Raw genomic sequence first — 26,949 nt, 5'->3', positions numbered from 1 at the left:
AGGAAAATTATAAGTAAATATAACACGTTAAAGATAACATGTTTTGTTTAGTTTTCTTATAATTTTTCTATAATTCATAATGAACTGTGTAATAATTTTTAAATTACATGGAACAGAACCTTTAAAAGGACAAAGACTTCTGATTCTTTTTTTGAAATTAGGAATTTATTATTCAGTTTTAAGAGTTTCTTTCTTTATATAATCTGAATATAAGTCCTTTATGAAATATGTGATTTGCAAATATTTTCTCCTAGTCTATGGGTTTTCTTTTCATTCGTTTAAGTATGTCTTCAATAAAGCAAGTTTTTAATAATAGAGTTTCTAACTGGTGATCTTGAAGCAAACTGTAGCAAAGACCAGATTCTACCCAAATAACGGCATCGCCTTAGATCATTCCTGCTCTGCGTATTTTTCCACACATCAGTCCTGTTCAAAGGGCACAGATGCAGCCATGCATGACCATTTCTCCACTTGTTTTCTTTATTTTTTGTTTTAAGCTACAAATCTTTCCATTTTACAGATATGCCTCTTGGATGGAGGAAGTACTGATAAATTTGTTAATAGATAAATCAATTTCAGCATCCAAGAAAAGAACATTGTTTGTCAGTAGAGCAAACTTCCAGCCTTATTTGGGGGAATTTCTGTAACCTTTTATCTCATGCAAATCTAATCCAAATGTTAGATATAATTAATGACTCAAAAATATTTCAAAGGCATTATCTCTTTTGCTTTTGTATAAATTCTTAAACTAGATGTGGAGGAAAGAAGGAAAGCAGAAGTAAATATTTGTGGACTGACTACTGAGTGCTGGGCATTGCACCTGTCTTTCTTTACTTCTCATACAACTGTGTAAAGAAGTTAATAGTCCCTCTTTATAAGTGAGGGCTGCAAAGCTCAGAGAGATGAAGTAATTTGGTCAATGTTACACAGCTAGTATGGAGAGGAGCAGTATTAAGAGTACAACTCCACCTGGCTTCAAAGACCATGTGCCTTTCATTATGTCAAGGTTATTAATTCAGTTTTACCCATGTAAATGGGGCTCACTCATTTTGCTTTTAGGAAAAATTTAAGAAACAAAAATTTAGTCAATGGCCTTAAGTCTCAAAAGAAAACAATACTGACTAAATATTTAATAAGCATATCTAAAATACACACATTTACATAAAATTAGAGCACACATCTCAGGAACTGTAATGAAGCAATCGGAAAACTGTTCTAGAATCCAAGATTTTTAGAGACATGAGAGAAAGAGACCTTGGTGATTCTGTAGTCCAACCAGCTCATTTTACAGGTGAGAAGACTGAGGGTCTAAGAAATGAAATGGTTTGTTGGAATTCCTAGCAATCAGTGAGACAGCTGAGGCTAGACTCAGTCTTTCATCTCCTCTTTCCTTCTGCTTAATCAGAGGGTTTTATGATTTTCTGTCCAGCAAATTAGACTATGTGTGAAATGTTTGAGAGGTTTTGAGAGCTCAAACTGAGGAAGGAAACAAAGATGAGTAAGAAAAATGCCCTGCCCTCAAAGAGCCTACAGTCTATTGCAGGAACATCCCTGGGAAATGAATTCAGTATGTTCAGTGTTAGAATAGAAGGGGACATACGTTGATAGTGCACACAGCTGCAGGAGGTAAATTGATTTTATTTTTTCCTGTGTGTGTGCATGTCTGTCTTTTCCATAGATGATCTCTTAAATTCTCAATTAAATTCTGTTTTGAATCACAAAAAACAAATTTTAAGGGTGTCCCTAAATTTTACTTCTTGAGATCTAAGAGTTGGATTTATAACTGGTCAGTTGCTTACCCTCTCAAGAAGTAAAATTTAGGGATACCCTTAAAATCTGTTTTTTGTAATTCCAAACAGAATTTAATTGAGAATTTAAGAGGTCACCTATGGAAAAGACACACTTCTTGAGATATAAAAGTTGGATTTATAACCGGTCAGTTCCTTAGCCTTTTGTTCAGGTCCATGTGGCTTGAAGAAACAACTCTAGTTCAGAGGGAAAAAATGCTGACAGTTCACAGCAGAGCATTCCCCAAGCAAAATAAATGTATTGAAAATCTTTTCGGGTAGCCAAACTCTTGGCAAACAAGGAGTTTGTCAACCTGCTTGGGTCCTTGCCAGAAGGCTTTGTTGCACAGCCACACAGCTCCTAATAAACTCTTTTGAGGCACAAACTTGTTGTATGCCTCTTGGTGCTTCTCTTTTGACAGCATGTAAAGGTCTTTATGAAGAAAAATAGCCTTTAACCAAGGAACCGGCCTGTGCTTCAGACTTGTTGTAAAATCTTGATCCAGTTTTTTTCTCTCTGGACTTCAGGTTCTCTCTCTGTAAAAGGAAAATGTAGGACTATCTCCAGGGCAGCAAATGCATGCCATTTATACCAGTGGTGTGCTAGAATTTCCTTGTACTAGCTCATGAGAACTAATTGTTAAATTTTTAGAAATTTTGTGAGCTAGTTCACAACTTAGTGCTTGCTTGAAATCAGCCATGTGAGAATGTTTACACCACATAAATTGATAAATGCTACAAATCAGGATGTCACCTCCCCACTGCCATCAACCCTCAGAACTAGTTACTAGTACTAGTTAAACATTTGCCAGTATACTACCGTCCTTATCCCACATCTGTCCTGTTCTACACTCATGGCAGATAATGCTAACCAGTCACAGAATTCTCACCTAGTCCAGCCTGCATATGACTTAGCAATCTTCCCTCTCTCCCTTCCTCTCTCCCCTCTATTCCCTCTCTCCCTTCCTCTACCCTCCCCTTTCCTTTCCTTCCCTTCCCCTCCCCTCCCTTCCTTCCCCTCCCCTTCCTTCCCCTCCCCTTCCTTCCCCTTCCCTTCCCCCTCCCCTTCCCTCTCCCTTTTCCCTCCCCTTCCCTCCCCTTCCCCTCCCCTCTCTTTCCTTCCCTGCCTTCCTTCCTTTCCCTTTTCATTCTTTCAAGCAAAATTATCTTTAAATGACTTCATGTGCCAGGCAGTGGGGATGGAGTAATAAACAAAATCTGTAAGATTCTTCTCATAAAATTTATTTTTTAGTGGCAAGAAACAGACATTAAACCAGTAAAAATGAAAAGAAAATATAACTTCATATAGTATAAGTGCTGTAAAGGAAACAGACTCAGGTGGTATGATAGTGCCTAAGGAGATACAGTCATCAGGGAAGATGTCCCTGAGGAAGTGGCTTTGAACTGAGACTTGCATAAGAAAATAATCACCTTGCACACCGAAGGAAAGGGCATTCAGGGGAGAGGAACAGCAAGTGCTAAGGCCCTGGAGTGAGAACAAACTTGTTGTGTTGAAGAAAGCAAAAGCTGCATGCCCAGCATGCAGGGTAATAAGAGAGGTGAGAGAAGTAGGCAGGTTCAGATTTGTAGAGTCTTATAATACATACTAATGAGTGTGGAATTAATTGCAAAAGAAATAGGAAGTTGATGGGGCAGTGGGAAGGGTTCAGCTACTATTCAGCTACTATTAACTGATGAGATTTCTAAAAATTAATGGAGGTGAAATTCATATAACATAAAATTAACCATCTGAAAGTGAGCAATTCGGTGGCATTTAGTACACTCACAATGTTGTGCAGCCAGCACCTCTATCTAGTTCTAAAGTATTTTTATCATTCCAAAAGAAAACTCCAGACCCATTAAACTCAACTGACAAGATTTGAAGTGCCAGATTGAGCTTTCGTGGTAGTGGGTCATCTCTCACTTTTGCTCTACTTTGTATGAATCTATGATTTCATGAGCCTTCATTACATATAACAGAGCTTTTTGGGATACTGAGGCCCCAGCTTTTCGGGTGGAGAGGAAAATGTCTCCGATTAAACCAAATGTCTTAGAACCTGGCCTGATTACCAGTGGGGTTACCTCTTTTATAATGTAAAACATTGTGCTAAAATTTTGAGAATTGAATTCTTAGAGCAAACTTACTTACTTTCACAGTTGTTGCAGGTAGTACTTCTTGTAGTATGTAATACTAGTTACTAAAATACTCAACATGGTTTTTCATTACCTAGCACCAGTTTACTGTGTTTGTGAACCAAAATCTCAATGCCTTTAGTAAGGACTCTAGAGGTCTTCATTTTCCTCTTTGATCAACTTCTTTAGCTCAGTGTGGCCCATCCTGCCTCTCTGCACTAGCCTTTTTGCCACCTGAGATAGTGCTCATGTGCCTAGCACTGTATAGTAGACTGATAACATGGGTGTGACTTCTGGAGTTGTCCCAAATCATCAGAAACGGCTCCTTCATGACCAGGTCTTATCACACAACATAAAGGTCACAGGAATTGAAGATTATGCTGTTAATATATATATATATATTTTTTTCCTTTGGAGACTCATTCTGTTGCCCAGGCTGGAATGCAGTGGTGCCATCATGGCTCATTGCAGCCTCAAACTCATGGGCTCAAGTGATCGTCCCACCTCAGCCTCCTGAGTAGATGGGACTACAGGTGTGAGCCACTGCACCCAGTCTTATGCTATTAATCTTTAATATGTTCTTATATATCCTAAAATTTCAGACAATGCAATTCCAAAAGCATTACGAATCTCACAGCTTGATTAATGTTGCACCCTCTGCTATGCCTCACTCATGGAGAGAGGAAAAAACGGGTGGATGTTAGTGCAATTCAACTCTCTCTCTCTCTTTCACACACACACACACACACACGAGAGAGAGAGAGGGAGAGAGAGAGGGAGAAAGAGAGGGAGAGAGAGAGGGAGAGAGAGGGAGAGGAGAGGCAGGGAGAAAGTGGGAGAGGGGGACTGGGGGAGAGAGAGAGAGAGAATGAATGAACATGAGATAAAATTTGGAAGTGGGATATAGGTAATTTTTGGACATGTTTGAGAAATATACCACTACAACATCTAAGTGAAAATGTGGCAATTGTGTATGTGATTCTAAGGCTGAGGAATGAAGTCTGTGTTGGGAGTTAAAAACTTTAGTCATCAGATTGTATGTGGCAGTTGAAGCCATGTGATTCCATGAGATGGTCCAGGAAGACAATATAAAGTGACCATAAAAGAAGACCCAGGGCAGAATACAGTACCAACATTTAAAAATAGACGGAGAAAGAGAAGAGTCAGGATGCCTAAGAGCTTTCTAGAAAAGCATGTACTACAGTCTTCTGGGCAATATACTTTCATGAAGGGGCACAATTACTTCTCCTGGCCAGGAAAAGCTTCGAGGTGGTGCAGAAGTACCAGATGTGATACTCTTGAGGAACAGTATTTACCAGATGTCCTCTGGCCACTTCTACTTTCCAACACAGAACCCTCCTGAACTTTAGACCTATATTTTCTAGTATTTCCTCAATGCCCACCAGCATCTCATCCTTCTTCGCAAAGCCAATCCCCATTGAAAAGTGTTTAGAAGGTGGAATATCAGGGATCAGAGACTAACAGCAGGAGTGAAGACAAGGAAGGTATTGACCAATTGAAGGCTGTACCGTCCTTTAAAAAAAAAAAGGCATGTAAGGCGAGAAAAGCTGTAGTTTTTAAAGTAAAGATGTGCTTTCAGAAATATTTCCTCTATTAAATTTCTACGTCTACTGTAGACTTGAACTCTTAAGAGCTAATGCTGTAGTATTTATTTCTGTGTCCGAGTACTTACAGCAGTGTCTGGCACAGGTAAGGGCTATGAACAAATGTTTATATCATTGATTTGAATGCACTTTCAAATGGGGCCAGCAACACCTTCCCACAAGGATTTATCACAAACATTCCCTAGTCACTTTTGCTTAGGCAATAATTTCATCAGTTAAATAAGGGAATTGGGTCACATTCTGGGACAAGCAGCATAAAACTTTCCTCAATTGCACCAGACTAGCTTATTACACCTATCTACAATGGATACTTTTTCACTAATACCATTGTTTTCACTGCTAACACATATATATATAAATTGAGTGAGAGAGCAAGAGAGAGCTCCATTATATATATACACACACAACCATTATATATATAAAACCATTACAGATACATATATACGTATGCATACACATTATTGTATATTATGTGTACACATACATTACATATGTATAGACATTATATATACATTACATACATATGTATATTACATGTGTATAGACATTATATATACATTACATACATATGTATATTACATGTGTACCTCATGTGAAAGTATATTTTGTATATACATAAATAGTTCTTATATATGTATATGTAATGGTTATAAATATCATGGTTATATATTATATACAATGAAATTAAAACCTTGGTTTAGAGCAACTGAATCATTAATTATCCACGATAAATTCTATACTTAGAAGAACCATCAAGGGAGTGAAGAATCGGTGTTATTGTTTATGGGGACAGAGTTTCAGTTTTATGTGATGGTGGTGATTGAACAACAATGTGGATGTACTTAATGTCATTGAACTGTACCTTTAAAAATGGTTAAAGTGGGGTATTTTATGTTATATATATATTGGCACCTGTATTAGGAACCACAATTACAAATAATAATTAGGCCAGGTACACTCACGTCTGTAATCCCAGCACTTTGGGAGGCTGAGGAGGGTGGATCACCTGAGATCAGGAGTTCGCGACCAGCCTGCCCAACATGGTGAAACACTATCTCTACTAAAAATACAAAAATTAGCTGGGTGTCATGGGGGGCACCTGTAATCCCAGCTACTTGGGAGGTTAAGGCAGGAGAATCACTTGAACTTGGGAGGCGGAGGTTGCAGTGAGCCAAGATTGCACCATTGCACTCCAGCCTGGGCGATAGAGTGAGACTGCGTCTCAAAAAGTAATAATAATAATAATAATGATAATAATAATAATAAGTTGTAGCTCAATTTGAAAAAAGGAACTGTAATTTTTTTTTTTTTTTTTTGAGACAGAGTCTTGCTCTGTCACCCAGTCTGGAGTACAATGGTACAGTCTTGGCTCACTGCAACCTCTGCCTCCCAGGCTCAAGCAATTCTCATGCCTCAGCCTCCCAAGTAGCTAGGATTACAGTCACGTGCCACCATGCCCAGCTAATTTTTGTATTTTTAGTAGAGACAGGGTTTTACCATGTTGGCCAGGCTGGTCTCAAACGCCTGACCTCAAGTGATCTGCCTGCCTTGGCCTCCCAAAGTGGTGAGATTACAGGCCTGGGTCATTGCCCCTGGCCACTATCATTTCTTTTATAAGAGTTTTGGGGTTATTGTTGTCTCTGAGTGGGAAAGTGGAGAGGAGGTGTAAGCTGGGGTACTCATCTGCAGTGCATGAAGGGTGGCGTTATGTGACTCTGTGAGTAAGCTGTACCGGGAGAGTTGTGGGTTGAATTGTGCCCTACCGCAAAAGATGTTTAAGTCCCAACTCCCAGTACCTGTGTATCTGACCTTTTTTGGAACAGGGTCTTTGCAGATGTAATCAAGTTAAAATGAGGTCATACTGGGTTAGGGTGGATCTTAATCCAACATGCCTGGTGTCCTTATAGAAGAAAAGGGACATGGGGGAAAGGAGACACTCAGAGAGCTCACCATGTGAAGAGGGAGGATTGGAGTGAGGCACCTACAGCCAGGGAACACTGGGGGTTGCCCACAGTCACCAGAAGCAAGGAAGAGGCAAAGAAGGGCTCTGCTGCAGCCTTCAGAGACAGGACATGCCAACACTCTGATTTCAGTCTTCTGGGCTCCTGAAATGTGAGAGAATAAATTTCTGCTGTTTTAAGTCACTCCATTTGTAGTAATTTGTTACAGCAGCCTCAATAAACTAATACAAGTGCCAAGGAGAAGGGGATCCCCACTAACCGTTTCTGGGTTGCAAATACATTTGATTGGCTAAGAGGGATTGGCTGATATCAATCATCTTTACAGAGCATTCTGACTGTACACCAACCTCATTAAGGGGTATGTGTGTGTGCATGTGTGTGCGCATGCCTGTGTGTGTGTGTGTGTGTGTGTGTGTGTGTGTGTGTGTGTAGGAGGGAGTCTTGCCATTACAGGCAAGGACTCATAAAAGAATGACTGACAGTCTTTCTTTAATGGGTGACAGGAGGCAGAATTTAAAGGCTACCTATGTGTGAAGAAGCTATGACAAAACCAATGAAATGTTTCCATTTCAAGGAGACATACTACCAATATAGCTAGTTTAGCCACTTCTCTAAAGGAAAGATGCAGTTTGGAGTATTGGAAAGAATGTGAGTTTAGCATGAGATGAATGAGAATGAGTTACATGTTTTAGGAAGCTTATAGTCTTGAAAGGGTAATAAGATGCAAATAATTAAATCTATTAAAAGGAAGAACGATTCAACTTCATCTATGAGATACAAAATACGCCAAGAGTACCTATGATTCTAACTCTCCAGAAAAATGTCCAGAAAAGAAGGGTACCTCAATGGACTTCTGGGAACATGGGGGCACAGAGGGCTGGTCATCTAGTTAGGAGGAAGAGATTGAATAAAATGCAGAGAAGGGGGCAATCAAGGCCTAGGGAAGTTTAATGAGAGCCTTCATTCTATAATGGCAGGTGGCATCAAAGGTCAGGCTAAAAATTACAGGTTTGCTTTTCCAAATGCTGAGGAGACTCTGAAGGTTTCTGAGCAGGAGTGCAATGTGAGCAGAGCTGGGCTTTGAGTAGAGTATTATGGTGGCTGGGTTTAATATGAATTAGAGGCACAAAAATACAGAAGCAGGGAAAACAATTGGAAATTTATTGTTAAACCAGTTGTATTTTCTTGGGTGGCAACTTGCTTCTTGATTTTCTATTCTTTAGAGATTTAATTACAAATGAGGCTTGGAATCCAAAAGGAAAGTTCACAGAACAAGAGAGTCTTCAACAGTAAAAGTAGAACAAAGGAGCAAGTCAGCAGCCCCAATTTCCCCTCTTCCTGTCACCCTAAATAATAATAAATATCAGGGAAGCAACTGATTCATTTGTTTTTATCATTTCTTTACAGTTAACAGAATTTAAAAAGAACAATTTTTCCAAGCAATTTAGTTGTGAGCCTCTGATTTCTAGTTATAATACAGAATTACTTACTGTAGGCCAATTGAGATTTACTAGTCACCTACAAAGTCCACTCTGAGGAGCCTTAACTGTTATTTCCAAAAGAGTTAGAAATATTCTACCCAGTGACAGCAAAGTTTTTCTTTTGCACTATCTCTCCCCTCAAAAAAGTATATATGACCCATTTTCTATCAGACAAAATGAAAAAAAATAGCTTTATTGATTCCTGTGGAAAAATGCATACTCTAATAATTTGATACCTGTTATATTTTAGCTTAGAAAACCACGTAGAAAAATGTGGCACTGCCTTTTAGTCATTGAAGTGTTAATTTCTGGGAATACTCTGGAAATTGCAATAAAGAAGCCACTTTCAACAAGGCGCGGTGGCTCACGCCTGTAATCCCAGCACTTTGGGAGGCCAAGGCGGGCGGATCATGAGGTCAGGAGATCGAGACCATCCTGGCTAACATGGTGAAATCCTGTCTCCACTAAAAATACAAAAACTTAGCCGGGTGTGGTGGCGGGCGCCTGTAGTCCCAGCTACTTGGGAGGCTGAGGCAGGAGAATGGCATGAACCCAGGAGGCAGAGCTTGCAGTGAGCTGGGATCTTGCCACTGCACTCCAGTCTGGGCAACAGAGCAAGACTCTGTCTCAAAAAATAAAAAATAATAATAAAAAAAAGAAGCAACTTTCTAATTTCTAACTTCATGCTTAAATTATATCAAAGATAATATTTGCTGTCATAAATTCACACACAAATTAGATTATATGTGTAACTAGGTGGGCCAATGCATTCTTCAGGCCAAGAGTTTGTTCATTGCTGATTTAGGCAAAGCTTTTTATTGCACACCTGGGAAAATGAATTCCAAAGATGTAAAGTGATTTGCTTGTGGTCACATTTCTAGTAAATTATTTAATTCTAACATAGGTCATTCATTTCGGAGCCTGCATATTTAGTGTCTTCTTATTATTTTCCTACTATTTACACTCTCAAGTAGATCCTTCTCTTAGGTTACACAGAAAGCAATCTGGGTCAATACTCTGTCACTCACTTCTAAAAGCAAAACACCATTCGCAACTTTTCAACTCATTTTCAGAACTGTAGATTTTTGGGGTTCTTACCACTACTTATATTGGTTCCATGAGAATGTAACCAGGACATCAGTTCTTTCCTGTTCTCTTCTCTGAACTATCCTATAGAATTAAATTGTACAACAGCATTTATGAACAATATGGATTTCACTGGAGACTGTATAAGGAACGTGGAGAAGGTTTGCACCATCCATTGAACAGCATTCAGCTTGGAATCCCAAGTTCAGACATCTTTCTTTATCTCACTCCTTTTTCTATTGCCCAATCACAAGGGGTCCTTCTTTTCTATCCTTTGCACCAATGACAAGGTGACCATTTTCCTTTCCCACAGGTCAGCTCCACCCCAGTTGCTACCTCCAAAATACCCCCAGGGTCTCAGTGAAAGGAAAGGTTGGCCAGTTCATAGACCCACCATTGTAGCAAGCAAGGGAGGAGTCCCCTTCTGCACTTGATCATGACTTTTGAACTCTTGCTCTTACATACATAGCTTTCACAGCATTTTCCTACAAATTATAGAAATGCTTTACGGAGGAGGAATTCTATTTTCAACTCATTATTGGGGCGATATATGAGCAAAGCAGATGATGTTCCTCAGATGTTGTAGATGAAAACTTAATGTGCCCAAGGAGGGAGAAGAATCTTTAAAGTCACTGATTGAGATTTTGTGTACTCTTCTGCGCTCAAGGTTGGTTGTTTAATTAATACCATCTGGCTCATTCACCACTTGCTAACACAAGGAAATACTGAGAGGACTGGCTTTCTGATATTAAATATTACTTTTGAAATCCAAATAGTTCTTCTTATTAAGCTGAGATCAAAGTTGAATTTAATTAGCTTTAAGAATAGAACTGTAAATAGAAAAGGCATTCATCAACAAGCATATTATCCTTCCTTGCAGATCAGCCTACACATCATGTATCTCTTCATGATGATGAAAATAATATGTTTTGGGAAAAGTATTAGCATAATACTATCAAAGGAATTTGCCTGATATAAATGTAATATACATATATATATACATTTTTATATAAAAAGACATACTTATCACAGTAGCATCATATTTCTCCATGGCTTCAATAATTTTTTCTAAGATTTTCCTCACCATCAGACATTCAGAAACATTTCCTGAAGGATCCTTTAGTAAATTAATACTGCTATATTAAGATTCTTAAATCCTTTAATAATTCTTTGGATAATTCCTAAATTACTCTAAGAACTGTATCCTTGGAAATAAATCCTAAGAACAAAACGAACATGGTTTTGTTGGAAGGACCAGCTAGAGAAAATAGCCATCTTAAAATGCAGTCGAAAAGTGGCAAAAGCTTTTAGACAACCATTAGCTATCCTCATGGAGGAACAGATTAAAATGTCTAAAAGAAATAGAAATGTTAAATGTTCCAATTTTGCATCAAGTATGTAATTTCTTTTTTGTTTTGTTTCATATCCAACCAGTTGGAACCTACAAAATAATACAGCACAGATTTCTTTTTGTTGGTCCTGTAATACTTCCCCTGGAACAATTATGCATGTGATTGGGGGACTGTCACAGCCAAACTGATGTCCTCCCTTGGGACCATGAGGAACAATTGCCCTTCCCCATGGGGTGGCTCTAAAAGCTGAGTCTAAAAGCTGAGCCCGTTTGATGAATGGCAGCAGCCCTCTGGACTGTGCCACCCTTTGTGGATGGGACAGAGAGACTACACAATTGGGCCAAAATACTTTCTCCCAAATGGTCAATTGCAAATTGTGTGTGACTGCAGGAGAGCTCTACAATAACCAAGGAAGAGAAACCATGACAATTTTAAAAAGTACTGAAAAACATGTTTGTTTGTTTTTCTAAATCCCTAAGGGTCTTTTTGTTTGTTTATTTTTTTACTGGTCCCAGTTTGTTTCCATCCTTTTCTAGGCTTTCATGTCATTAAATGAACAAGGCATGGACATTTTATTTGCAAACCAAGTAACACGTAATATATTTCTGTGTTCCAAACCCCACATGATGTAACTTCAAATCGACAATGTGAGAAAAATACATATTAATTTAATTACTCTCCAAATATCTATTTTTTAATCCTCTCTGAATGGCTCTCCCACCTCATAGGCTTTAAAACTTCTGGAAAATGCAATGATGAGTTCTAATAGACCCTGCTTTTGCCTCTGGATAGTGGAACTCTATCATTTATCTCAGGCTAATTTGCTAAAGCTGTGCACACATTAATAAAATATATTATTTTAGGGGAGACGGAGGTGTCGAATTATTGCTTATGTCATTTCTTAAGAAGTCGTGCTCTTAATGCTTAAAAGAAGGCTAGCATTGTTTGCACCAAAAAGTTGGTGATTCCCTCCCCGAAATAGTAATGAAATTACTTCTGTTGAATAAACTTTTAAAGTCATTTTAAAAGCTGACCAAAAAAAAAAAAAAAAGCTTCTGGAAAACAAACCTACAGAGTGTCATATATGGGGTCAAAATGTGGGCCTTGGAGGCAGGGACTGAAATCCCTGTTTGGCTAACACTGTGATTTTTGGAAAAATGTTTTAGCCTCTCTGAAACTCAATTTCTTGTCCATAAAATGGGCTAGTAAAGCTTTCAGGGTACCTGGAAGGATTAAATTATAGAATGTGAAATACAGTCCTAGGAGGGGAATAAAGGTTAGACTCGGGTTCAGGAGCCAGCAGCCTGGGTTTGATTCCCCATTCAGCCACTTAATATGTGCATCAAACCCCTTCACTTCTCTGTGCTTCATTTTTCTCATACATAGAATGAAAACAGACCCAGCATGACAGCTCGTGCCTGTAATCTCAGCACTTTGGGAGGCCAAGGCAAGTGGATCACTTGAGGTCAGGAGTTCAAGACCAGCCTGGCCAACATGGTGAAACTCATCTCTACTATTAATAAATATACAAGGGTGGGTGCAGTGGCTCATGCCTGTAATCCCAGCACTTTGGGAGGCCGAGGTGGGTGGATCGTGAGGTCAGGAGATCGAGACCATCCTGTCCGATATGATGAAACCCCATGTCTACTAAAAATACAAAAAGTAGCTGGGTGTGGTGGTGTGTGCCTGTAATCCTAGCTACTTGGGAGGCTAAGGCAGAGAGAATTGCTTGAACCAGGGAGGTAGAGGTTGCAGTGAGCAGAGATCACACCACTGCGCTCCAGCCTGGAGACAGAGGGAGACTCCCTCTCAAAATAAAATAAAATAAAATAAATATACCAAAATTAGCTGGGTGTGGTAGCACGCGCCTGTAGTCCCAGCTACTTGGGAGGCTGAGGCAGGAGAATCACTTGAACCTGGAAAACGAAGGTTGCAGTAAGCCGAGATCACACCACTGCAATCCAGCCTGGGTGACAGAGTGAGATTCCATCTCAAAACAAAGGAAAAAAAAAGAAAGGAACGAAAACATTATGTACCTTGGCTGATTATCAGAAGGCTTAAATGATTTCATACATGCAAAGTACTTAAACAATGCCTGCACCATAGTAAACACGTGATGAATGCTTGCCACTATTGTTGAACAGCATAACTCCCCTGCTCTGAATCTACTTTCTCATGTTAATGGGGTGTCAGAGGCATGTCTCCTCTCTCCACCCCAAGCTCAAGGATATTTGAGTGAGCCTGACCAGGTCCAAAGTTCAGCTTCTTTCCCATACAGAGAGATAACACAGTGTCCCTTTATGAGTTTATGAGTGTGTGGTGGTTTAGCTGGGAGGTGCCCACAGGCAATGGCTAGATTTCTGTCTTGTAAGGTCTAGAACTGCAGGTAGGGTGTTGATGGCATTCATTCCAGGGAAGAAAATGTTGCAAAGCTAAGTGATGACCCCGCTCACCAAATGGTCCCATCTGCCCTGGCCAGTCTGTGGGGTTGGGGTTAGTGCCTTAGTCTAACAAGGGCTCTTGGTTATGATCCTCGTTCAGGTTACACCTGAGACACCTGAAGAAGACCTAGTGCTTCTGCAGAGCTTCAGATTACACAATAGGCACCAAAGAGCTGACCCCCAAGAAGTACTCACCTAGTCATACCAGGCAGAGTTGGACCCTTGCTTGTGTACAAGGTGCAGGGAATGATTGGCCCCAGGGAAGTCATAGTGATCCAGTGAAATAATTGATTGTCAGAGATCTGGTCATGAGAACTGCCTCAGGAGAATAGCCCAACAAAGTTGAGTCAGCCCAGCAGAAGCCCGGACCTACTCTGCAAGAGGAACTTAAGACATTTGATACCTGCCTCAGTCAGGGAGACCAAAGGATCCAGGCACAAGCTTCGCAAGTGGAGTTTTATTAGACTTGCACACTTCCATTAGACTGGGGCCTTCTCACAGTAAATTGCTATTAAATTAAGTTTGGCCTAAAGCTGCATCCATACATATTTTAATATTGGCTTAAAGGTTTCTTCATACATATTAAACTGTAACCTGACTTGCTGTGTACACAGAGTGTAACGTACTCTCATAACAGGTAGCGAGTCTCAGCCAATCACTGCAGCCGAGTTTCAGTCCATTACAGGCAGCCAAATGTTTAAACAGTGTTCAGATAAGGCAAACGCCAACCTGTACCTAACCCTGCTGTTTCTGTACCTTGCTTCTGTGTTCTGTATGTCACTTTCCTTTTTTGGTCTGTAAATGTTACCCAACCAAGCAGCATCCCTGGAGTTGCTCTGAACCTATTCTGGCCCTTAAGACTGCCCAGTTGGTGAGCTGATCTTCATTCAATTAAACTCTGTTACATCGGATTATTCTAAAGTTTTTCTTTTAATACTATTTTCAGAATTTTCACATCATCTGGGTGAATTCTGAAAGGACACCTACATAGTAAAAACACCCTCTCTCCTATAATCTGGGTGACTTTGGATAGTGGAATAAGCCTGCTATAGTGGATGAAGCAATTAGTCCCCACCTGTGTATTTCCTGGGTGCGGGCTCCTTGCTCCTCCAGGCAGTGGATGTGTAAGCAGGTGGTTTTCCCACTTTGAGATGGCACACCCAGTGACCCTCTACACATATACCCCAACCTTGCAAATGATTGCTTAAGGCCAGCGGTTCTGATTTGTGAGTTGGGCGCCTGGTTTGTCATATATACAAGCCTTTGGTAGTGAGATTTGTAGGGTCCCTTTCCTCTTCATTTTTGCCCTAATATAATTTAATCCCAGGCCCTCAAAGCTGACTTTTTGCATAAGATAAGGACTTAATGGAATCTTGTGAAGGCAGAACTCTAAATACTTGGTCACAGCCTTCCTTTACCAATTCTCCAAAGGTGAAAGGCAGTGGTGGTGGGGATGTTGGGGTTATTACTACTCCTGGAGCTTCCTCTTCCTCTTAAATAGTACCCCAGTCTTAACTGGATAACCTCAAAATAGGTCACTAAGTAGTTTAGCAATCCAGAAATAATCCTTCACAAATATCCTATAATACCTCTACCTGCCCCAAAGCTATCCTATTCTGAGAAGCACCAAATGAACCCTGTCAGCCAAGGTCTTCTTTTTAAAGATGGTCAGGCAGATTCTTGCTACAGCAGAAAATAAATGTGTTCTCTGCAGGCCATCAAAATACCCAGGTGTTTGGTGGGATAATTTGCTATATTCACAGTTTTCTTTTTAATAAACATGAGGTCTGGACTATAAGATCCTTAGGAACCCAGCAACTTGTTGGGATATTTTATCTGAAATATTTGGCCATCAGAATATTGGAAAGATTATTCTGGGACAACTGTAGGCACTTTTCATGATGACTTTCCTAAGATAATTTAAAAATTTTGAAAGCCTGCCAACTTCAAGTTATCTGATCCATTTGAACCATGTTTCTAAAGCTCAATCCTAAATAGAACTCATGAAACCAAAAGCTTTGTCCCTCCTTGGTGACATTATCCCAAGAAGATTATTATAGAATGCTGAGGATGTCACTTTACCTGAATAAAGGATAGTGGCATGGGAGAGGTGGTGCTGATGCATTGAAGACTTAGTATTTGAGTGACTAATTTGACCTTCTTCTAGCCTGGAGCTAACAGAGTAGATCTCACACCAGCACTACAGCATGAAGGTAGACACAGCATGATAATAGCAAAGTAGAATTACCACAACCTCAGCAAGTCAGTACAGTCAGAATCAAGGTTGTTTGCTTGGAGGGAAGGGTATAGAGGAGAGTTAATATTGGCAGTAAAGTGGGTATGGCCTCCCCAGAGGCCAGTATTAAGCTGACATTCTTAAGGTGGTCTCACTGGCATCCAAAAGCAGATACTCATTTAACTCATGCACAAATTTGTAATATCCAGCAATTGTCATCATCTGATTTAGCTACCAAGGCCTCCCCTGGAAAGACTTCTGACTCCCTTGCCTGTTTTATGCACAGACATTTCCATCTTAATTTGGGACAATCCCTGAAGAAGATGCCAACATCTTGCTTTGATTTTTTTGCAGGTGATTTCTTCGGACTTTACCCTGTCTTTGTTTTGATGTCTGCAGAGAGTGCTGAAACACTGGCCTGGCCATGGTTACTTCCTTTTTCAGCCTGGCTTGGCTCCTGAGTGATTTAAGACCTGTTTTGGAACTAAGTGTGGGAGTTGGAATGATGTGGAAGAGAAGGTCAGATAAATAACAATTGTCATCAGGAGACCCAGGCAGAAATGGGTCTGCAGAGGCACAGAGAATGTTCTTCATGGGCCCTGTTCCATTGGTTACAAATGGCCCTTTTATTTTCATTGGAAGGGATAAGGAAAGTTGTCCCCTAGGAACGTTCTCACAAATCCAAGGCCTCTTGCTCTTGCAGAAAGATATAAGAGCTTATAGTCCTGAGGGTTACCTCTTTCCAAGAATTCCTCATTTGGAAAAAGAGATGGTGTTGGAATCCACCTGAGACGCTCACATGTTGGGATCAGAAGATAGTGACTGGATGGATAGAGTTTTTATAGTTCAGATGAATAAAGACTTCCTTTGCTACTGCACTAGCTGAACCTTTATAAAACACAAATCAGATCATGTCCCTTCCCTGCTTAAAGCTCTTTGATAGTTCACCATTGATTCCACAGTCAAGTCCTAGATTTTCTGACTGCCATTTTAGCCCTCCATGATCAGCCACGGCTTATCTCCCTGGCCTTTCCCCTCAGTGTGGACCCTCTCTACTCATCCTTTATGGCAAGGGGTTAGCATACTGCAACTCATAGGCCAAATTTGGCTCTCAAGGACTAAACTACACTACAAGCTAAGAATGGTTTTTACATCTTTGAACAGCTACACATTAAATGATTTTGCAAGGAGTTTGCAAGGCAAAAGGGATTCAGTTAAGGGTTTTCCAGGCAGATAAACAGCATGTGAAGCCATACAAGTGTCAAGACATCATATCAAGAGAAAGTTGTTGTGGGGTCATAGAAGGATTTTTAACAGAAAATGGCAAAGTCATATATATGTATGGTAGGAACAGAAAGGAGAGGGCAGGGCAAAACTGGGGGCAGGGAGACCAGACAGGAGGTGATTTTACTTGTTCAGTTAAGCAGTCATGATATATAAACTCAGACAAATGTGAGGGTGAGGGGAAGAAGATGAGCACTCAGATCTGAGAGGGCTTAATGAATTATCTGTTACAGATGGGCTGTCGTTGGTGGGTGGGGGAAAGCTTGGCTCTGGTTTCCTCTCACAGGTGACTGGTTCTGTTGGCTCTGGTTTCCTCTTATAGGTGGCTGGTTCTGGTCCCTGAGAGGATAATGGAGAGACACCTGAGCTAGAGAATGCCTTAGAAGTCAAGGTGCTGGCGTGCAGGGAGGATGAGGCATTGTTCAATGTGAATGAATCATGGTTAAAATGTAAATGAATACCTTCAGCCATCACCTCTTCTAGGAAGCCTTCAGGCTGAGTTATGGTCCTCCTCTGTTGGAGCATTGGTTAGTCATTCAGAACCTTTACCAAGTAGCTCTTAACTGGTTTGTACTTTTATTTTTTACCCCACTTAGATGGGATGAACTCATTGAAAGTTGATGTAATGATTAATCTTTATTTTGTCGGGGCCTACAGTGTCCAGTTGCTCAATAAATGATCATTGAGCTTCACTGAATAGAGGTGGGGCCTCTTGGGGAAGGTCCCCCTGGGTGATGTGGTGGGCAGAGCAACAGCTTTGTCCTCTAACAGACCTGTAGAATCTTTCCACTTTCTACCTTTGTGAGTGTTGACAAAAAGAGTGAAACTCTATAAAATATTTGAAGAGATTTATTCTGAGCCAAATATGAGTGACCATGGCCTGTGACCCAGCCCTCAGGAGATCCTAAGAACATGTGCCCAAGGTGGTCAGGGTGCATTGGTTTTATACATTTTAGGGATACATGAGACTTTAATCAAATACGTTTAAGAAATACATTGGTTCAGTCCAGAAAGGTGGGACAACTCAAAGTGGGGGTGGAGGGGTGGTGGGGGTAGGGCTTCCAGGCTAGGTTATAGGTAGATTTCAAGTGTTTCTAATTGGTAATTAGTTGAAAGAGTTATCAATAGAAAGGAAGGTCTGGGTTGAGATAAGATGTTGTGGAGACTGAAGTTTTATCAAATAGGTAAATCCTCCAGGTAGCAGGCTTCAGAGAGAATAAATTTTAAATGGTTCTTATCAGACTTAAGGTCATGTTGACGTTAATACTGGAGAGGCATAATGGGGTATGTCCTATCCCCACTTCCCTTCGTGGCCTGAATCAGTCTTTCAGGTTAAATTTTAAAGTGCCCTGGCCTAGGAGGAAGTCCGTTCAGATAGTTGGGGGGTCTTAGAATTTCATTTTTGGTTTACGTGAGCTTTGCCAGATCACTTCATTTTTATATAAATATTGGCATACCTCATTTTATTGTGCTTTGTTTCATCATGCTTTCAGATTTGGAGTTTTTGACAAGTTGAAGGTTTGTGGCAACCTTGGGTTGAGCAAGTCTATTGGTGACTTTTTTCCTACAGTGTGTGTTCACTTTGGGTCTCTGTGTCACATTTTAGTAATTCTTACAATATTTCAAACTTTCACATTATTATTATTACATTATTATGCTATTACATTAGACTACTACATTATTATTATTGTATCTGTTATGGTGATCTGGGATCAGTGACCCTTGATATTGTAATTGGTTTGAGGCACCACAAGTTGTGCCCATGTAAGAGGGCAAACTTAACCAATAAATGTTGTGTGTGTTCTGACTGTTCTACCACTGGCTATTTTTCCATCTCTCTCTCTCTCTCCCCGCTCCTGCCTCCCTATTCCCTTAGACACAACAATATTGAAATTAGGCCAATTAATACTCCTACAATGGCATCTAAGTGTTCAAGTGAAAGGAAAAGTTGCACATCCTTCACTTTAAATCAAAAGCTAGGAATCAATTATGCTTAGTGAGGAAGGCACATTGAAAGCTGAGATAGATTGAAAGCCAGGCCTTTTGTGACAAAAAGTTAGCCAAGTTGTGAATGCAATGAAAAAGTTATCGAAGGAAATTAAAAGTGCTACACTAGTTACCACACAAATAAGAAAGCAAAACAGCCTTATTGCTGATACTGAGAAAGCATTAATGGTTGGGATATAAAATCAAACCAGCTACAACATTCCCTTAAGCCAAAGCCTAATTCAGAGCAAGGGCCAAACTCTCTTCAATTCTATGAAAGCTGAGAAAGGTGAGGAGCTGCAGAAGAAAAGTATGAAACTAGCAGAGTTTGACTCAAGAGGTTAAAGAAAAGACACTGTCTTCGTAACATAAAAGGTGAAGCAGCAAGTGCTGATGTAGAAGCTGCAGCAAGTTACCCAGAAGATCCAGCTAAGACAAACTGATGAAGGTGGCTCCATTAAACAACATATTTTCAATGTAGACAAAACAGCCTTCTATTGGAGGGTGCCATCTAGGACATCTATATAGAAGGTGCCATCTAGGACTTTCAATAGCTAGAAAGAAGAAGTCAATGCCTGGCTTCAAAACTTCAAAGGACAGGCTGACTCTCTTGTTAGGGACTAATGCAGCTGGGGACTTTAAGTTGAAGCCAATGCTCATTTCCCATCCTGAAAAGCCAAGGACCCTTAACAATTATGCTAAATCTACTCTGCTTGTGCTGTATAAATGGAATGACAAAGCCTGGATGATAGCATTCTATTTATAGCATGGCTTATTGAATATTTGAAGCCCACTGTTAAGACCTACTGCTCAGAAAAAGATTCCTTTCAAAATATTACAGCTCAGTAAGAATGCACCTGGTCAACCAAGAGCTCTGATGGAGATGTACAGGAGATCAATATTTGTTTTCATGCCTGTTACCACAATATCCATTCTTTAGCCCATGGATCAAGGAGTAATTTTGATTTTTTAGTCTTATTGTTTAATAAATATATCATAATGTTATAGCTGCCATAGATGGTGATTTGTCTGACGGAAAAGTTAATCCCAATCTTCCTGAATCACTTTGAGGGGTTCAAGATTTTATTGGAGGAAGTAACTGCAGATGTGGTGAAAATAGCAAGAGAACTACAATTTGAAGTGCAGCCTGAAGATGTGACTGAATCTCATGATAAAATTTCATTATAAAACTTGAACAGATGAGGAGTTGCTTTTTATGGAGGTGTGAAGAAAGCAGTTTCTTGAGATGGAATCTACTCCTGGTGAAGATGCTATGAATATTGTTGAAATGCCAACAAAATATTTAGAATATTAAATAAACTTAGTTGATAAAACAGTGGCAGGGGTTGAGAGAATTGACTGCAATTTTGAAGGAAGTTAGGAAGTCCTACTGTGGGTAAAACGCTGTCAAATGGCATTGCATGCTGCAGGGAACTCTTTCCTGAAAGGAAGAGTCAAATGATGCAACAAACTTCATTGTTGTCTTATTTGAATAAATTGCCATAGTCACCCCAATTTCCATCAACCAGCACCCTAATCAGTCAGCAACCGTTCATACTGAGGCAAGATACTCCACCAGCAAAATGATTATGACTCCATGAAGGCTCAGATGATATTATAGTTGGCATTTTTTTAGCAATGAAGTATTTTTTAAATTAAGGCATGTACTTTTTTTTAGACATAATGCTATTGCAGATTTAAGAGACAAACAGTATAGTATAAACATAACTTTTACATGCTTTGGGAAACTAAAAAAATTATATAATTCATTTTATTGTGATATTTGCTTTATTTCAATTATCTGGAATCAAACCCACAATATCTCCCAGGTATAAAGAAAATATACTTTTCCTTCGTATTTTTCAGGGCCACCATAACAATGAAATGGAGGCAGCATACATTGGTAATGGAAAGAGCATGGGAGTTTGGAAGTCAAAAGAGGTGATTCCAATCCTGAGTCTGACACCAAAAGTAACTTATTCCTGCTCTCATAGCCTCAGTTTCTCCATTTGTAACATGAGGGTGTTGGATTAGATCATGTTACCTTCCCATCTAGAATTCTATTAGGATTTATGAAACCAGATGACAGATGTAGAATTGTCATGCAAGTGTAAATCCAGAAGCAAATTGTGATGGTTTGAATGCATCCTCCCAAAAGCATGTGTTGGGAACTTAATCCCCAATGAAACAGTGTTGAAGAGTGGAGCCTAATGGGAGGTGTTTAGGTCATGAGGCCTCCATCCTCATGAATAGATTAATGTCAATTATTAAAGGACTTTATGCTAGGAGTTCAATCTCTGGCTTTCCTGCCCTCTCTTCCACCTTCTACCGTGGATGCTGTTAACAAGAAGGCCTGCACCAGATGCTGGCACCTTGATCTTGGACTTCTCAGCCTTCAGCACTGTGAGAATTTCTTTTCTTTATAAATTACCCAATCCGTGGTATTGTTACAGCAACACAAAACAGACTGAGACATAAGTGACAGAGAAGAGTCACATTTTAGAGTCCAAAAAAGGCTTCAGCAGTAAATTGTATACATGTATAAAGAGTGGCCCCATAATGAGTGTGTGATGTACCACTCACATTCCCCCCATCAGAGCTGAGGCATTCACTTCCCAGCTGCTGGGAGCATTGCCTGCTGACTATCTACAGAAATCGTCCTTAGCTGAAGGGAGCTGCCTTTCCCAAGGTAGCCCCTCCGTGGGGGACAGCCTCTATTCAACCACTAGTTATTGTGGGGATACAAAGTCCCAGCCCTCTCATCTCAATTTTGGAGATCTCTGAGAGTCATTTCAGCCTCAGAGCTCTCCTGGGATCTGTTGGAACTGCATCTCAGTTCAACTTCCCCTTCAACTCCACCCAGTTCTGCTTTCTTCACTTCCTCACTGGTATTCCTTAAGGCATTCTCAAGAAAACATCTGCACACAAATTCAGGCATTTCCCCTTAGACTTCATCTCTGATTTCTCCCCTGGCTTCTAGACCTCTATGGACTTGGCTCAGGCTCCCCATCAAAAAGCCAAGGTGGAAGGCCAGCGAAACCTGGGCTCCTTTACACTTCTTACTCAACAGTTACAGAAATGCAAGTTGGGACCTTTTACTTTACATTTTCTGTGTATCCCACTGTACTTTAAAATAGCAAAGAAGATTTCTTCTCCCAGGAAAACTATTCTAATGTCTAAAGTCAGAGAAAGCAGAAAGTCAGAAGGACTGGCCAGTAAAGCCCCCTCCAAATGGTGCCATGGCAAAAATAAAAACAAAAGACTCTAGGAAAATATACTTAAAGAAGCTTAACTCTATAAATCAACACCTGGAAGCTGGTAGCATAAGCTTTGTTTTCCACAGGGCTTGCACCAATTGTCTGGGCCTCACAGTTTGGTCAAATCTCAGCCACAAGTTTTCTTCTGATATCGTAAGGCTTGGAATGAAGAAGCTAGAACTTCATTCTGTTCCCCCAAATTCAGTGTACTACAAAGAGGCAAAGAAATACATTTAAAGAAAAGGAAAAAGAGATCAACAATTGGTTATAATTCTTTGAATAGCTAGATAAATATTGACTAAGAGGGCCTATGAGAAAGAAGCATTCAGATCTGCCTGGAAAAATTAGCTTCCCTTCCTCGCTTCCTCCCCTACTGTTCAGCATCTCTGCTGCAAGATTCTGGCTCCGTTATTTCTCTCAGTGGGAGCTGCCATTTTAATGCCTCAGCACAGCACTTTTTCAGCAGGAGATCCTGCCTCAGGTGGCAGATCAGGCCTGGGAGAATTGAGGTCTCATTTAAACTAAGTCAGAAATTTCCCAACTTGTTTTAAAGTGAAATAGATTTGTAAAAATAACAATAATAATTATTTGACAGTGCTGTTATAGCTCCCAGATCAAAATTTAATCTTTAAAGTGGAATCCATTCTTTTTCCTTCTGAAGGAAACTAACTTTCTACTTCTCTGTCAGGCATTACCAACCTGAATTGAAACATTCACCAGCTCAGAGAAACTTCATGTGCTTGAGGAAGACAGCAGCAGAATAATTCTTTTCTTTGTTTGAGGTCTTTCTTAAATATTCATTATTGTTCACCTATTAGCCATTATATTTAGATTTTAAAAAGTTATTTGGTCTTCTTCATACTTTAAACCTCTTAAAAATGTGTATAAAACCCAAACTTCTTCATTTGGGGGAAACGGTTGATATATTTCTATGTAATTTACATCATTTTTTAAAAAGTTGCCCTCATGAGTTTTATTTCATTTTTTTTAAACTGGGGTATAATTCACATACAGTGAAATGCAGTAGTCATAATGGGGCTTGTTGTCTTCCTCAGTCCGAGGTCCATCTGGTCAGCTCTTCTCTCCCGTTTTCTCAAAGTCCCACCTAGGTCAGCCCTGGCCCATTCCCAAGCCATTCTCCTCTTGGGATCTCCTCTGCATTGAGCCTCTATAAGATGCCTGCCTACCCTCAAAGGCCTCCTGGTATGCCCTCTGCACTGCTTCATCTGGACTGAGACCTGGCTGTATCTGAGCCCACTGTATCTTTTACGGCTGCAATGGACTGAATGTTTGTGTCCCTCACATTCATACGTTGAAACCCTAAATTCCAATGTGATGGTATTTGCAGGTGGGTCCTTTGGGAAGTGATTAGGTCATGATGGTGGCACTCTCATTAATAGGATTGGTGTCCTTTTAAGAAGAGTCCCGAGAGTTAGTTAGCTGTCTTTCCTCCATGTGAGGATACAACAGGAAGTTGACATTCTGCAACCCAGAAGAGGGCTCTCAGAAGAACGTGACCATACTGGTACCCTGATGATATACTTCCCAGACTCCAGAACTGTGGAGAAGTCAATTTCTGTTGTTTATAAACCAGTCTATGGTGCTGTGTCCTGGCAGCCAGAGCCAACTAAGCCCTCTCAAGCAAAGGCTGCTCCTGCTCTCATACCTTCCACCTCGAGACCACACCATGGAGCTGGGAATCCTCCTACCTTTCTGCTCCCCTGTCCAGAATACTGTATGACTCTTTCCTTATGCATCTCCTTTAAGGCAGTCCCATTGCTCTTTTCCTAACTCCAGTGATATTATTTATCAACCTCTGTGCCACTTTCAGTCATGAAGGATTTTTGTAACCTATTCACAGACTTCTCCTCCTTCCACATGCCTGTCATCTTTCTTAAAGACTTAAAATCTGCAAAGATGAGGTTTTCAACCAACCGCTTTATATATCCCTAAGCTTGTCCCACTGTCTAGTCTTTTTGATGGCCACTTCTACCCAGAACTATCAACATGTGGTATCTCCCTATTGCCCTGGGCCTCTGAGGCCCCAGCCCTCTGCCCAATTCATGATGCTCCTGCAAGCAGCATTTCTCAAACTGAAGCAAATATCTAATCTTCCCCACCATGTCTTCAATGGCTTTCCATTGATTTGACTGGGATCTGCAAGTGCTGCCATACTCTTTTCAACACCCTGATCCTATATCCTTAAAGCCAAATTCTCACGTAATATTTTACAATTTGGACCTTGCAGATCCATATCATGGCAAGCTAGCCAGCTGTTAATCAAATCCTCCATTCACTCCTGCTCTGATCATGCAGTAAGACTACATTTCCTGCCTTCCTCGCTGTTAAGTGGGATCATATTATGGCAATCTAGCTGATGGATTATGAGTGGTGGTGAGGTGTGTCCCTCTGAGGCCTGGCCCACCAATATCTCCCACATCTAATCCTTCATGCTCTTCTTCTTTTGCAAATTGGATGCTAACACCAGGGTGATCCTGAAAGCCACTTGATGCAGATGGAAAACTCTGTCACCTTGAATCCCTAAATGGAACATAAGCCTGTCTCTCCCTGCCCCTGTGGACTGGCTCCCCTAGACTGAAGAAAAACATACACATTGACCACAAATAAAAAGCAAGCTTTTAACAGAGTTAAGCCACTGAAATTTTAGGATTTGTTACAGCAGTTAGTTTCATCTAACAAATACGATGTGTAAGGAGAAGGAATTCTAAAATGGATCATATTCAAATAGAGTCATCAGGGACCAAGAACTGGGCCACAGTGAAGGCAGCAAGCTTTGGGTGAGGCAACAAAGAGATCTGAAGTTCTCTCTTCTTTATGGATTTTTTAAAAAATGTTTTATTCTTTCAAGAATGGTCCATTCATGGAACTGGGGCTATCACTGTCTCTATGTGTAATGCCAGGTAAGAATAAGAGAATGATCCAGAGAAAAGGAGGGACTCAGCGGGGTGAGAGGAGCTAATAATGACCTCCCCTCCCACAATCTAGCCGTCCCCCATCCTAGCGGTCGACAAAGTGTTTATGTTCTTTTTGTACTATGCACTCATGAGGGACCTGTGACATCAGTAAGCAGCTAGTCAGGAATTTGGAATCCTGGATCCTAGCTGTCTTTTTTTCTGCCATAACTGACCACCAGAATTAGAATGAGAAGTGGAATACAAGATAGGTAAGAGAGAAAGGTTCAGGACCAAGGCTGTGAGCAAGGCTCCAGAGCCCCTGGTAGTCTGTTTAATGTGTGAGTGGCGTGTGGCCCAGGGTAGAAACTAGTGGGTGTTTCTCCAGTGAAGGATGCCACATGGGCCTGAGCATCTGGACCCAAGCCTCCTAACTGGCATTTCTCTGTGCTTGCTGTAATGGATTGTTCTAGCTGTGATGCTGATGAGAGAAATTACTTAAGGACCAAGTCTTCCCCCTCCACCCCCCTCTGTTCTGTCTAGCATTCCTGCAGTCTGGCATCTTCACTTAGAAACATTATCTCCCCAGATCTTGCAGGGTCCCTAAGTGGTAGCTGTAGCATATCGCCTTGGGGAGTTCAAGGCACCTTATGAATATTATCTCATTAAATCCCCCAGCCTTTTCCCCAGGAGTAAAGCCACACCCCTCCCCCACCCCAACTCACAATCCCTGCTTCATTCAAAGCAGACTCTGAATAATAAATATTGTGATTTATTGCAAGTCATTTAGAAGGAACTATAAATGGACCCTCAACTTCTCCATCTATTTGAAAGGTACCATCTTAATGTGTGTATAGAAGAAATAATGGCTGTTCTGACACCAACTTACCTGGAACACCAATGATTTATGGTTTTGGGGCAGAGATTGCCAGGTGCCCTTTACTCCCACTGGACAAAGAAATCCCAGAATCCTTATTCCTTCCCTGAATACTGGCATTTCACACCTTCCACTCCCCTCACTATCCCAGTAATACACCAGGCGTCTGGAAGTATTTGCTGCTCTCTAAATGTACCAATTTTCTTCAGGTTTTCAAAGCTTTGAATAAACTATTTCCTCTGTCAGAATGCTCCTCTCCACCCCAATCATCCTCTACTTTGTGATCTCCTGTTCATCCTTAAGAACTAGCTCAAATCTCATGTCTTTCATCAAATTTTCTTTGACTTCTACAGGGTGAGTTAGTTGATTTTTCCTCTAATCTTCCACAGCTTCAAATAGAAGAGCTACCACTTCTATCAGGCTCTAGTTACATGCTGTACATATATATTATCATTTAATTCACATGATACCCCTCTGAAGTTGGTGATACAATTATAACTAATTTTGCTGATAAGAAAAAAGAGGCTTGAA

At 40.5% G+C, this 26,949-nt stretch overlaps 1 long non-coding RNA gene across 1 annotated transcript in view; it reads left to right on the top strand.

The window, feature by feature from the left end:
* Positions 1-26,949, top strand: part of LOC340512 (uncharacterized) — a 128,156-nt gene that overhangs the window by 20,526 nt on the left and 80,681 nt on the right. Inside the window, exon 4 of the long non-coding RNA NR_126029.1 lies at positions 21,239-21,313. This is a non-coding gene — a long non-coding RNA (uncharacterized LOC340512). The remainder of the gene's footprint in view (positions 1-21,238; positions 21,314-26,949) is intronic.

Source organism: Homo sapiens, chromosome 9 (assembly GCF_000001405.40).
Source record: "Homo sapiens chromosome 9, GRCh38.p14 Primary Assembly".
Taxonomy (NCBI): domain Eukaryota; kingdom Metazoa; phylum Chordata; class Mammalia; order Primates; family Hominidae; genus Homo; species Homo sapiens.
The sequence above is the reverse complement of the archived record's forward strand: the minus strand, read 5'-3'. Positions and strand labels throughout refer to the sequence as shown.